The sequence below is a fragment of the Homo sapiens genome, chromosome 12 (genome assembly GCF_000001405.40).
Source record: "Homo sapiens chromosome 12, GRCh38.p14 Primary Assembly".
Taxonomy (NCBI): Eukaryota; Metazoa; Chordata; class Mammalia; order Primates; family Hominidae; genus Homo; species Homo sapiens.
This window is the reverse complement of record NC_000012.12, coordinates 44,499,236-44,513,901: the sequence shown is the minus strand read 5'-3', so window position 1 is coordinate 44,513,901 and position 14,666 is coordinate 44,499,236. Positions and strand designations below refer to the sequence as shown.

Sequence of the window (14,666 nt, the reverse complement as noted above, 5' to 3'; positions counted from 1 at the left end):
GTCATTTCACCAAACTTGAGAAAAGTTGAGCCATCGTTTTTTCACATATTTTGTCTGCCACATTTTTTTCTCTCATAGTTTTCTGAGACTCCAATTAAACATTCGCTTAGATGGTTTAATTATCCTAAAGGTCACTAAAGTTCTATTTTTATTTCAATATTTTTGTCTTTGTTTTATGGATTGGATAATTTCTATTGCTTTGTCTTCAAATTTACTGGCTTTTTCTTCTGCCATCTCTAATCTGCTATTAGGTTCATCCAGTGAATCTTTTCATTTCAGATATTGCATTTTTCAGTTCCAGAATTTCCACTTAATTTTTAGTAGTTTAATTTCTCTGCCAAGTTTTACCATTTATTCATTCATTATGACTGTATCTTTTAACATTTTTGAGCATATTTATGATAGATACTTTCCAGTCTTTGCTAATTACAACATCTGGATCATCTTCGAGTCATTTTCCATTCACTGCTTTTTCTCTTCATTAGGAGCCACATTTTCCTGTTTTTCTTCACGTCTATTAATTTTTATAATATATTGGATATGATGGATGATATGTTTTATAGATCATAGGTTCCATTGGCTTCTTGTGAAGACTGTTTTTGTTCTAGCAGGTTGTAAATTATTAGCCAATAACCTAGCACTTATTAGAGGTTGGCTTTACACCAGTTAGGGGGGGTCTGTTTCAAATTTACCTTTAGTTTTAGCATGAATCTCTTAATCTGTAGGTATTGTTTTACACCTAATCATGGCCCTTTTAGGCCTTCAATGGAAAGCTTGGATTATTTGGTTTTTCCTTTTATGTTTGGTTGACACATAGTGGTTGCACATATTTATGGGGGTACAGAGTGTTGATACATATGTACAGTATGCAATGATCAGGGTAATTAGGGTATTTTTTACCTCAAGCATTTATTACTTTGTGGTGGGAACATTCAAAATCCTTTCTTCTAGATTTCTGAACATATACAATAAATTATTATTAATTATATTTATCCTACAGTGTTATAGAACACTAGAACTTATTCCTCCTATCTAGCTGTGTAATTTTGTATACTTTAACCAACATCTTCCTATCCTCCTCTCCCCTATACTCCTCCTAGCTTCTGATCACCATAATTCTTCTTCTATAAGATGAATTTTTTAGCTCCAACATATAAGAGAGAACATGTAGTATGTATCTTTCTGCACCTGGCTTATTTCACATAATGTCCTCCAAGTCTCATCCATGTTGTTGAAAATGACAAGATTTCATTCTTCTTATGTCTGGATGGTATTCCATTGTGGATATATGCCACATTTTCTTTGTTCATTCATCTGTTGATAGACATTTAGGTTGATTACATATCTTGGTGATTGTGAAAAATACTGCATGGGGGTTCAGATATATCTTCAATATACTGATTTTTTTTTTCCTTTCAGTAAAAACCCAGTAGTGAGATTGCTGGATCATATGTTAGATCTATTTTAGTTTTTTGAGAAACTTTCATACTGTTTTTTATAATGGCTCTACTAATTTACAGTCCCACCAACAGTGCACAAGGGTTCCTGTTTCTCTGCATCCTCACCAGCATTTGTAATTTGTTCCTTTTTAATAAAAGCTGTTCTAACTGGAGTGAGATGATAGCTCATTGTGGTTTTGACCTGCGTTTCCCTGATGATTAGTGATGTTGAGCATTTTTAATATATGTGTTGGTCATTTGTATGACTTCTTTTCAGCAATATCTGTTCAAATCCTTTGCCCATTTTTAATTGGATTACTTGCAGTGTTTTGCTGTTATTTGAGTTCCCTGTACATTCTGGGTATGAATCTCTTGTCAGATGAATAGTTTGCAAATATTTTCTTCCATTCTGCAAGTTGTCTCTTCATTCTGTTGATTTTTTTCTTTGCTGTGCAGAAGCTTTTTAGTTTGATATAGTCTCATTTATCTATTTTTGTTTTTGTTGCCTGTGCTTTTGTGGTCTCACTCATAAAATATTTGCCTAGACCTGTGTCCTGAAGCATTTGTCTTATGTTTTCTTCTAGTAGTTTTATAGTTGCAGGTATTAATACTACATGTAAATCTTTAATCCATTTTTAGTTGATTTTTTATAGGTGGTGAGAGATAGAAGTCTAAGGAAAACTTAAACTGTTTATCAATCCTTTATATCTTAGAAGGACACAGATCTGACGCACTGCTTCAGTGAGCAGCATCTGAAAGCTCTTCTCATATCTTTCAACCTTCAAACTGTGGCTCTCTTGATTTGCTCTTTAGAATCTCTTCTGCAACTCAAAGATCAGCCAAGGATTTAAAAGGAGTTTGTTTACTGATTCACTTCTTCTTTTATAGATATTTCCCCCTCAATTTCCAGCCACTCTGACAACTCCCAAGCTGTCCTCTGACACCTCAGTGAGATTGTGGCTTTCTGCTTTCCTTATAGTTATCTCAAGCTGCACAGACTGGGGAGTGCCCTAAGGGGGAATACCAAGTGAAAACAACACTCACACAGTACATTTTCCTTCTTTCAAAGATTGAAACTGCTGTAGTGTCTGCCTGACACTCTCTATTGCTTTCAATTGTTATTTTTGTATTTTGTTCAGACTTTATAGTTGTTATCTATAGGAGGGTTAGTCTTATATAAGAAACTATGCTATCAGTAAAACTGGAACCCAAGTAGGATGCTTTATTAGTTGTCCATGCTTCCCTAATTAAGGAGCTGCCATTGATATGGTTTGTAGAATCCTGTTATAGCAGAACATATCCAATATGGAATAAGCAACACACTCCTGGAAGATTTTAGAAAACAAAGAAACCCTTCCTAAGACATACTTATGGGTGCAATATTAATGGTTTCTTCCCCATAGGGTTCTAATGCTAATTGCACATACTCAGTGATGGAAAGCTCCAGAAATTCCCTAATTATATTTCTGCTCCAAAGCCATATAATTTGAGGAGCTGATATTCCCAGGAACTGGTACACCCATCACTTTGTTGGGCCAATGAATTAAGAAAGATTGTGTGACCTGGTTATGGTCAGAAAACCTGTGCCTCTGAGCCGGCACCTCAGAGTGGCCTTTGTCAGACAGGAGAGGCAAAGATGGTTCCAGCCTGGGGCATCTTGGAGATTCTAGGGCACAGCTGAGTTCTACAAGTCTCAATCGAACAGTTCTGTCTCTAGGAATATGTTAGGGGCTGGAGATATGATGACAAAACTTTAAAATGCCACTAGGGGTCTAAGAAATGGTTGAGTCTGTCACTGCCAGAATATGAACTCAGCTTAATAATAAGTTAGAAAAGATGCAAATAAGTTAAACTGATAATATTCTTCTTGGATATATACTGGCTTTTTCCTCATCAGTGTGCTTTAGCAAAGGCTAGACTATCAAAATCTTTTCAGGTTTCCTTTTATAGAAACAAAGACACTTTCAGTTTTTATCATATTAAAGTATAATGCATTTCAATCATCAAAAGCCAATTTTCTGAGAGAAACTATATAATGGAGGATGTATTTTAGAGTCAGGCTAGCCTGAGTTTTAATCCTAGCTCTACCATTTACTAGCTGTGTGATTTTGGACATGATATTTAAGCTTTCTGATCTTCAGTTTCTGAATCTAAAACGTGTGACTATTAATAGGAATCCAACTGGGAATGCTGTGCGGTTGAAATTAGATAATGTATTTTAAATGCCTGGCAAAGTGTCTGACACAGAGTACACACTTAAGGAATGGAGGGATATTATCATCATCACGGTTTTAAAAACGATATTAACATTATCTATGAGTTAGCTGGTTGAGAAAAGTAAGAGTGCAGGGAATCAAAAGAATAGGATAGAAGGTTTTTCTTCTTTGTACAACACTATATTGTTTTGATACCTTATATCAAAAACTAATTATGCATATCTGGCCCTTCCCTGCCTATTTATCCTATTTCATCACCACAGTTTTCTTCCCTAACTGAAAATTCTTACCCAAAGCTTTTTTTCAGTTTCTTAACTACACAAAACTCTCCTCTGTGCGTTTGGCCACCTTTTCATGCAGTCTCCAGGTCTCGGTTTAAATATCACCTCACAGAACAGTCTACCCTGGACATTGACTAAGTAGCTAGTCTTTTATTAATCTCACACAACCACCTAGTGTATTTCCTTTTGTCTTAGTCAGTTCAGGCTGCTGTAACAGAATACCATAGACTGGGTGGCTTAAACAACGACAATTCATTCCCCACAATTTTGGAGGCTGAGAAATTCATTTCTCACATTCCAAGATCCAGACCCTGGCAGATCTGGTATCTCCAAGGACACACTTCCTGTTTGCAGATGGCCATTTCTCATTGTATCACATGGTAGATAGAGAGAGAGGACGCATGTGTTCTCATCTTTTTGTAAGGGCACTGATCCCATTCATGAGTGCTCTACCCTCATTCACTAATTACCTCTCAAAGGCTTTACCTCCTAATACCATCACACTGGGGATTAGGATTTCAACATGTGGGTTTTAAGAGGATGCAAACATTTAGTTCATAGCACCTTTCTAGCACTTTTCACAATTTTTGATTATATGTTTGCATGGTACTTACTAGTTTTCTCCCTAGATAAACTGCAAACCCTGCTCTGTGAGGTTAGTGACCATGTCTGCTTTATTTATTAATATACTTAGTGCTTACATAGACTTAGTACATATTTTGCAAATAAATGAAAGAACAAATGTGATACAGAGGATGCCAATGAGTAAATAAAGCCAGTTTATGACTTCCCACAAATACAATGGGCATAATAATTGAGTCTGCAATAGTAGAGTCATGAAAAGTGATTGGGCCATTGAATTTTTAGGAATGCAGAAATAAATTATACAGTTTTGTTTGTAAGTACCAATCAATAAATGTGATCATTTACTAATGGCTTAAAAATTCATACTGTTTTTCTTTCTACTTTTTTTAAATCTAGAATGGCCACATCTGTTGCTCAGTGGATCCACAGTGCCTTCAGGAACTGTGAAGTTAACTGTCTCATGGGAGATTTCTGTTAAAAGAATGTTCTTTCATTAAAAGACCAAAAAGAAGTTAAAACTTAAATTGGGTGATTTGTGGGCAGCTAAATGCAGCTTTGTTAATAGCTGAGTGAACTTTCAATTATGAAATTTGTGGAGCTTGACAAAATCACAAAAGGAAAATTACTGGGGCAAAATTAGACCTCAAGTCTGCCTCTACTGTGTCTCACATCACCATGTAGAAGAATGGGCGTACAGTATATACCGTGACATCCTGAACCCTGGATAGAAAGCCTGAGCCCATTGGATCTGTGAAAGCCTCTAGCTTCACTGGTGCAGAAAATTTTCCTCTAGATCAGAATCTTCAAGAATCAGTTAGGTTCCTCACTGCAAGAAATAAAATGTCAGGCAGTGAATGAATTATATTTTCAGAAGTAAAGCAAAGAAGCTATAACATGTTATGTACAGTACACTCTGAAAAGAAATCTGAAACAAGTTATTGTAATGATAAAAATAATGCACAGGCATGGTTACTTAATATTTTCTAACAGGAAAAGTCATCCCTATTTCCTTGTTTTACTGCACTTAATATTATTTGGTTGAATTTGTTCAGTATAAGCTCGTTCTTGTGCAAAATTAAATAAATATTTCTCTTACCTTATAACACATGTGAGTCTGAGTATCTTGTTTAATATGTTCCTCTTTTCCACAGATGATTCTATAAAAATTGCATTCTAGTTCTGCTGATGATAAACTCCTGCTATGTTATTTCTAAATTGAAAGTTGCTATTTCCAAATTTCCAAATTGAAAATGATATGCCTAAGTAAGGGATGTGATGGATAACTTAGTTCTTCCTCTCTAGATCCTCAATTTCACCCTTTCTACCCTGCTGTGCATCCTGGGGTGGCTGACCTATACAGACCCTAATAGTGGGTTCCTTTTCCTCTTGATTCTTGTCTGGTTTCAATTATACTGCAGCAGGAAACACAGCTGGCATATTAGGAAGAGGTCAAGTTTGGATATTTATTCCGCTGGCTCCCTTCCTGCCTGGCCACCGCCATGATTTGGTGTGTCACCTTACTGAAGGTTATATCTCTTGAAAGGTACTCCTCTCTGTCTCACTGCCTCACCAGGTTCTGATAACTTCTACTGTTTGCATCTTCTGGCTTAGGGATATTAACAGCTCTGGCTATTCTGTCCTTGGGAGGTAACTGTTCAATCTTGTTTTCTCTATTTCTAGGCATATCTTTATAAATGGTCCCTTTGTTATACTCTTTAATTAGCCAGCTTGAGTGTGCCATCTGTTTCCTGCCAGGATTCTAACTGATACACATAAGGAGAGCAGTATGTGAGGTTGAGAATGTCTTCAAGAATTGGTCCTTCACGTTTTGATATAAAATTTTTAAAAATATCAATGTTAAAAGATATTATGATATTAATTACATGTTAAATATTTTGATGCACCAGAATGTCAGAGGGGATAAAAGTAAACATCCTGAAACTCAATAAAGGAAGCCAATCCAATATTGCCCTGTTATGTTTTACACTAGGGTGAAAAGGAAATATAAGTATTGTCAAATTAATTTTCGATGCATAGAGGCATTTTTTAAAAAAAAATTAAAATGAACACAAGGTGACCACCGCAAGCTACAGAAATGATAAAGTGGCTTTTAACTGTTCACTCACTATTGCTATGGAAACAACCTAGCACGAGCTGAGTTGAAAGATAATTCAAAAATGTCTTCATAGTTTGGCATGGTAATATTTATTGAATGTGTAAAATCAAGTAGCTATATTCCCTGAATTTATCATAAATGATTTTTCTGTAGCCTTTTTATGTTTAATTTAATTTAATTCAACAGAGCATAAGGTTTATTTTTTGTCAGCTGTATTACAATGGTAAATAGCAATTTAGCTTCCAAGAAGATATCTGTTAATTTGAAGTTTTTTCAAGTTATTTTTTCCTTATATAGCTTTGTGATTTCATATTGAATCCTCCTGAAAAAGTATACTTTACTCATTTTTATAAGAGAGTAAGAAATGTGTGTAGGAAAGTGTGTGTGTGTGTGTGTGTGTGTGTGTATACACCCATATAGATACATATTTGTCATTTAGATATGTCCTTCTGGAAGGAGAAGCAAGGCTGGAATTTTATATTACAAATCCTTTGGAAATCTTTGTAGGGCTCTGGGCATATTGGTGGCTTGCAGATCCTTGGTTTCTATAGGCCGCTGAGTGAAAGAAAACTCATAGTTAAGAAGAAAAGAAGGAAAATACAAGACTATGATAATTCAACGACTATTAAAGCAACACATGAATTCAGATTGAATTTTTTTTTCTTCAAGGTTTACTCCACAAATAGTAGATTCCCCAGGAGAATTACTGTTTCATGTGCAGGCCCTGGGCAAGCAGTAATCAATTGTTTCTTAAGAACTTTGTTCCTTGAAAAAGGGAAGGTTAATACCCCATTTCTCACTCTGATGATAATTGGCAGAATGCCATGGCTGAGTTGTGCCAATATTAAGGGAAAGTGAGAGCTAAGAAGCATGAATTTATTTTGAGGGTGCTTAGCTCCTTTAAGGGCAGGCCTTGGTGAAAATAGTCTTTACTCCATTTTCTTTATTTCCCCTTTTCTGCAAAAAAAAAAAAAAAAAAAAAAAAAAGAATATTTCGCTATGATTCTTTGGTTTAGTAACCTGTATAGTTTATCTCCCTTTTTAAAAGACTGCCATATTGCTTTTTTTGGTTTGCCTTATATAATGGTAAAAAGAGTCATGCATTTGTTCAATTATACTGCAATATCATGGAACCCTTTCATCCTTCCCATAACTTGGTTATCTATAGCCAAAGTTGAAACACCCTGTAAATTGCCTTTACAAAATGAATGGCATATCAAAGCTCTAAAACAGCAGTCAATACTCTTGAGTGTTGGAGTAGCGGAAGTTATTCAGTTGAATAAAACTGAGGTTACATCTACTGAATAAAATATGAGCTTCAGTTCACTAAGCATGACCTCATCTATCAAAGCTCCACATTGCTGACTAGTTAGGACTTCCTCTGAAGGTCGGCACATCCCACAGATACCTGCATGGTCCCAGTCCTGTTGATGTAGGTAGCTTAAGGATTGACAATACCAACTGTTCTTAAAGAAAGACTTTTTATTTTCCATTTTTTCAAATGTAGAGTGTTGTAGCTCAACAGTAAATTGATCTCTTGAGAGAGTCATGCCAAAAGCATCCCTGAAGACAGTAAGTGGATGCTGTGCTCTGTACCCACTTTGTTCACTGTGGTACCTGGACACTCCCTGTCTGCAGTCACCATTGCAGTGGAGTTGGCTCCTTGTGGTCTTACTGACATTTCATTACTGCACAGTTTTCTACCCTAGAATTCAACATTTTCCATAAAGGAGTTGTCACCTCTTTGCAGAATAATTGCCCTTACTTAATAGACCTGCAGGTAGAAAGTCAGGAATTCCTTGGGCTACAGTAGCTCCGGATTGGTGGTGACATAAGTAGGCAAGGAATAGAACTATTGGAGAAGTTTGGAACAGGATAATCTGAGTTGCAGTTTCTTATATTCTCTCTACTTGCCAGGCTGGGACAACTCCCCCATATCTTTTGTCTTTGTATTTGTATTAAATAATTGTTCACAGAGATTGTTTGCATGACAGAGTCTGAAATTTTTATTTATTCCAAATGATGGATGGCACGCTATGTTACTGCCACCACCAATATATTGCATTTAAAACATGACCTCTTATTTATCTCCAATGTTAGGTGTTTTAGAAAAGCAGCCTGAAATAAGAGTATAATTCTATGTAAAAGCAGAAATGATAGTGAGTTTATTTTTGAGGCTTTTTCTCTTTCTTTCACAAAACCACAGCCATAGAGAAAGAAAAGAAAAATAATGAACAAAGTATGTGCAAAGCATAAGCATTCATTTATTGCTGACTCATAAAGTACATGTCCTAATGGAGGAGAAAGAAAATCAACAAATAAATAGATACCATTTCAGGTGGTGATAAGAGCTAGAAGAAAAGTTAAGCTGGCTTGGGATACTGTTGTGGAGAGGGGTGATCATTTAGGTTGGTTGGACAGGAAGTCCTCTCCACAACAAAATAGTATTGGGGCAAATACTTGGATGAGGTGACAGCATGAGCCATTTTCATACCTGGAGCCATTTTCATACCTGGAGGGAAGGAGTTACAAGCAGAGGGAACAGTGTGCACAGGTCTGAGGTGGAAGCACACCTACATGTCTTGAGTGGAATGAGAACGTGGAAACATGTAGAAGATGCTGTCAGAGGAGTGACCAAATCAGGTTCTCCTAGGCCATGGTTAGCGATTTGTGTTTTTATTCTTAGTGACATAGGAGGCATTAGCGAGTTTTGAGCATAGCTGTGCTATAATATGACAGGTAAAATGATCTGTCTTGTTACTATGTGGAGAACAAACAGGTGGGGTTGGGGGAGAAACGAGCGGTGTTGGTGAACATGTACTCAGGAGGCACATTCATACCACAGAATTTCAGACAAGAGAATAATGGTTTGGACTAGGATGGTAATAATGAGAATCAAAAGGATTTAACATGAAAGAATATTCAATTTAATGAAATAATGGGCAGAAAGACAATGTCACAAAAATATCAATTCTCCCCAGTAGTTATAATTTTAAAAATGTTATTTTAAGGTGATTGTAAACTATTATAGAAAAACAAATGTCCAAGAATAGCCAGGAATACTTTGAGAAAAGATTCTATTTGGAGACAGGGGATACTTATTCTACCATGTATCAAGAAGGTATAAAGCTATAGGAATTAAGAGTCATTGTTTTAGGAATAGACAAGCTAGATAACATGAACATTTTCATCAAAAACTCAGAAACCATCCTATACACATATAGATACTTGATAGAGGATAGAAGTTACACTGAGCGAGGCTGTGAAATTGATTATGGGAAAGCAAAAACATAGACATTGATCCTTATTTCATAAAAATAAATTCCACATAAGAGAAAGACCAAAATGTGAAAAATAAAATAAATTTATGAAAAAAAATTAGAATTGTTTTTGGCTTTAGAATACTTTTAAATAAACTCAAAAAGCATATATATATGCATATATATATATATATATATATATGTCCTAAAAAGAAGAAAAGTACAATGCATCCAACAGAAAAATGATCAGAAGCAATGCCTAGGTATGCTACAAGAAAGGAAATCCCAGAATGACTAACAAGCATGTAAAATTTGCTTAGGGTCACTAGTAATCAAGTAAATGTATATTAAAACCACAATGATGCAATAGGCAAAAATGACAAAATTAAAAAGTAATATAACACCAGATATTGGTGAGCATATGAAACAACAGGAATACTGTGCTTGTACACTATACACACATCTCCAAACCAGTTTGGAGGGTAACTTTGCAGTGCAGAAAGTTGAAGATGTGCATGACTCAGTATATACTCCCAAGTACATGATCTAGAACTGCACTGTTCAATGCAGTAGCCACTGGCCATTTGTGGCTATTAAATTAAAATGTATTAAAATTAAATTACATTCAGTTCTCCATTTGCATGAGCCACATTTCAAGAGCTCAGTAGCTACTCTGTGACTAGTGACTACTCTATTGGGCAGCACAATGAACATTTCTATAATTGTAAAATGTTCTATTCAACAGAAGTGATATAGAAGAATTCTCATACACATGGACAAGAAGATGTTTATAACAGCTTTATTTGTAATAACAGAATACTGGAAACCATTCAAATGTTAATACAGTCATTGATAAACAAAATGTGGTATGTTTATTTGGAATACTCGAATGAAAATAAATAAAACTACATATACCAACAAGAATGAGTCTCACAAACAATGTTTAGAAAAATTGAGAGGTAACAACGTGCTAGCAGCCCTTGCTTGCTCTCTGTGCCTCTTCAGCCTCAGCGTCCACTCTGGCCATGCTCGAGGAGCCCTTAAGCCGGCCGCTGTGCTGTGGGGGCCCCTCTCTGGGGCTGGCCAAGGCTGGAGCCGACTCCCTCTGCTCGCAGGGAGGTGTGGAGGGAGAGGCACAGGTGGGAGCCGGGACTGCAAGCCGCGCTGGCAGGCTGGCCTAGGTTCTGGGTGGGCGCGGCTTGGAGGGCCCCACACTCCACGTGGCCAGCCTGTGCCTGCTGGGCTTGATCAGAGGCTGGGTCCTGTGCATGGACTGCCAATTTCCCTCTTCGCAGGGTTGTTGGCCAGGATGGTGGGTCTCTGTCTCTTTCTCGCTTCCCCTCTTTTCCTCTTGGTTGTCTGGGGCAACCTCTCTCTGGGCTGCCAGAATGCCAGAGCTAGGAGCCACAAAGTCTGGCAGAGAGTGCCAGTGAGAGGTGAAGTTGGCTGGGCTTCTTGGACAGGTGGGGACTTGGGGAACTTTTCCCTCTAGCTAAAGGATTGTAAATGCACCAATCACCACTCTGTCTAGCTAAAGGTTTGTAAACGCACCAATCAGCACTCTGTCAAAATGGACCAATCAGCTCTCTGTAAAACGGACCAATCAGCTCTCTGTAAAATGGACCAATCAGCAGGATGTAGGTGAGGCCAGATAAGGGAATAAAAGCAGGCCACCTGAGCGAGTAGCAGCAACCTGCTCAGGTCCCCTTCCACGCCATGGAAGCTTTGTTCTTTCTCTCTTCGCGATACATGTTGCTGCTGCTCACTCTTTGGGTCCCTGCTGTGTTTTAAGACCTGTAGCACTCACCACGAAGGTCTGCAGCTTCACTCCTTAAGCCAGTGAGACGACGAACCCACCAGAAGGAAGGAACAACTCTGGACGCACCACCTTTATGAACTGTAACAGTCACCGTGAAGGTCTGCAGCTTCACTCCTGAGGCTGGCAAGACCACAAACACACAGGAAGGAATGAACAACTCCTGACGCGCCACCTTTAAGAGCTGTAACACTCGCCGTGAAGGTCTGCAGCTTCACTCCTGAAGTCACTGATACCACGAACCCACTGTGTCCAGAATTGGTGGGTTCTTGGTCTCACTGACTTCAAGAATGAAGCCCCGGACCCTTGCGGTGAGTGTTACAGTTCTTAAAGGCAGCGTGTCCGGAGTTTGTTCCTTCTGATGTTTAGATGTGTTCAGAGTTTCTTCCTTCTGGTGGGTTCGTGGTCTCACTGGCTTCCAGAGTGAAGCTGCAGACCTTCGCTGTGAGCATTACAGCTCTTAAGGTGGCGCGTCTGGAGTTGTTCGTTCCTTCCATCTGGAGTTGTTCATTCCTCCTGGTGGGTTTGTGGTTTCACTGGCCTCAGGAGTGAGGCTGCACACCTTTGTGGTGAGTGTTACAGCTCATAAAGGCAGTGCGGACCCAAAGAGTGAGCAGCAGCAAGATTTATTGCAAAGAGCGAAAGAACAAAGCTTCCACAGTGTGGAAGGGGACCCAAGCAGGTTGCCACTACTGGCTGGGGCAGCCTTCTTTTATTCCCTTATCTGGTCCCACCCACATCCTGCTGATTGATCCATTTTATAGAGAGCTGATTGGCCCATTTTACAGAGAGCTGATTGGTCCATTTTATAGAAGGCTGATTGGTCCATTTTGACAGAGCACTGATTGGTGCGTTTACAAATCTTGAGCTAGACACAGAGTGCCGATTGGTACATTTACAATCCTTTAGCTAGACACGAAAGTTCTCCAAGTCCCCACTAGATTAGCTAGACACAGAGCACTGATTGGTGCATTTACAAACCTTGAGATAGACACAGGGTGCTGATTGGTGCATTTACAAACCTTTAGCTAGGCATAAAAGTTCTCCAAGTCCCCACTAGAATAGCTAGACACAGAGCACTGATTGGTGTGTTTACAAAACTTTAGCTAGACACAGAGTGCTGATTGGTGCATTTACAATCTTCTAGCTAGACATAAAAGTTCTCCAAGTCCCCACTAGAACAGCTAGACACAGAGCACTGATTGGTGCATTTACAAACCTTGAGCTAGACAGGGGGTGCTGATTGGTGTGTTTACAAACCTTGAGCTAGAGTGCTGATTGGTGTATTTACAATCCCTTAGCTAGACATAAAGGTTCTCCAAGTCCCCACTAGACTCAGGAGCCCAGCTGGCTTCACCTAGTAGATCCCGCACCAGGGCCACAGGTGGAGCTGCAGGCCAGTCCCACGCCACATGCCCACACTCCTCAGCCCTTGGGTGGTCGAAGGGCCTCGGTGCCACGGAGCAGGGGGCGGCACTCATCGGGGAGGCTTGGGCCATGCGGGAGCCCACGGTGGTGGGAGGCTCGGCCATGGCAGGCTGCAGGTCCCGAGCCCTGCCCCACAGGGAGGCAGCTAAGGCCCAGTGAGAATTTGAGCGAAGCGCCGGCCCGGCACTGCTGGGGAACCCGGAGCACCCTCCACAGCTACCGGCCCAGGTGCTAAGCCTCTCACTGCCTGGCGTGGCGCCAGCCGGCTGCTCCGAGTGCAGGGCCCATGGAGCCCATCTCAACCCAGAACTCGCAGTGGCCCGCAAGCACCACACGCAGCCCCAGTTCCCGCCCCCACCTCTCCCTCCATGCCTCCCCGCAAGCAGAGGGAACCAGCTCTGACCTCGGCCAGCCCAGAAAGGGGCTCCCACAGTGCAGTGGCAGGCTGAAGGGCTCCTCAAGCATGGCCAGAGTGGGTGCCAAGGCCGAGGAGGCACCAAGAGAGACCTAGGGCTTGCAAGGGCTGCCAGCATGCTGTCACCTCTCACCACCAGAAGGAAGAAACTCTGGACACATCTGAACATCTGACAGAACAAACTCTGGACACACCATCTTTAAGAACTGTAACACCACGAGGGTCCGTGGCTTCATTCTTGAAGTCAACAAGACCAAGAACCCACCAATTCCAGACACAAAATTACGATGCAGAATATACATGTATAACAAGGAATAAATTTTTTAAACGTTATAATTTTGATAATTTATAAAATTTTAAAATGGGAAAAACAACCTGTATGTGGTGTAGACATATATTATGCAAGTGTAAGTATATTAAATTGTGTGGGAATAACAGACATCAAATTAGGATAGTAGTTATCCTAAGAAGTGGACGAGGGGTGCCAGGTACACGGATGCATAACTGTGTTGCCGATATGTATCATATTATGCCATATATTCCAGTTATTTCAAAATAATGCTATTTCTAACATTCAAAAAATGAGTTTACAAATTGATTAAACATGTTTATATTTTATGTTTTTATATTTCTACTTTATAAATACATATATTTAATAAAATATATATATACAAATTTACCCTAAATATATATACCTGTATTTTCCTAACTAAGCCAGTTAGTTTTTCACAGGCAAGTAAAAATACCACAAGCTTTATCAAAACAAGACTTTAAAAAGTATACACAGAACTGTCTAAAAAATTTTCATTCCTAATTCTTTATTTAAATAAATACAGTACTACTCCTTTAAAGACAAATTGTGAAGGGAAGAAAATCACCACTGTAATTTCACCACCTTTGCTACTGTTTTTATTTATCTTCTCTTGGCTCACATGCCTACACATTTTGCATTGTTGCAGTCATGGTGTGTATCATTTTATCTCCACCTTTGCATGAAATTTTGGAGAAACAATTGTTCCAATGAAATTATTAGATGTTAGTAAAAGTTTAATGGCTGGTACATATTTCACCGATTTGTTGTAAGTATAGTTTATTTCCTTCTAACTTTTT

At 38.9% G+C, this 14,666-nt stretch overlaps 1 protein-coding gene across 6 annotated transcripts in view, besides 2 other annotated features; it reads left to right on the top strand.

The window, feature by feature from the left end:
* The window catches only part of NELL2 (neural EGFL like 2), a 413,574-nt gene extending 407,947 nt beyond the window's left edge, over positions 1-5,627 (top strand). For 4 of the 6 annotated variants that reach the window (NM_001145110.2, NM_001145107.2, NM_001145108.2 and 1 more), the window contains one exon: positions 4,918-5,624. In NM_001145110.2, the coding sequence (NP_001138582.1) occupies positions 4,918-4,968 (51 nt within the window). In that variant the 3' untranslated portion in view covers positions 4,969-5,624. Of the gene's footprint in view, positions 1-4,917 lie in introns of all 6 variants that reach the window. The other 2 variants (XM_011538396.2, NM_006159.2) reach the window with 1 other exon arrangement.
* Positions 10,519-11,018: an enhancer, noted in NCBI's record as "H3K4me1 hESC enhancer chr12:44896667-44897166 (GRCh37/hg19 assembly coordinates)". NCBI's record gives its function as "activates a minimal SCP1, AML or CMV promoter by ChIP-STARR-seq in naive H9 embryonic stem cells {active_cell/tissue: H9 hESC(naive)}" and the evidence as "EXISTENCE:reporter gene assay evidence [ECO:0000049][PMID:30033119]".
* Positions 11,019-11,520: an enhancer, noted in NCBI's record as "H3K4me1 hESC enhancer chr12:44896165-44896666 (GRCh37/hg19 assembly coordinates)". NCBI's record gives its function as "activates a minimal SCP1, AML or CMV promoter by ChIP-STARR-seq in naive H9 embryonic stem cells {active_cell/tissue: H9 hESC(naive)}" and the evidence as "EXISTENCE:reporter gene assay evidence [ECO:0000049][PMID:30033119]".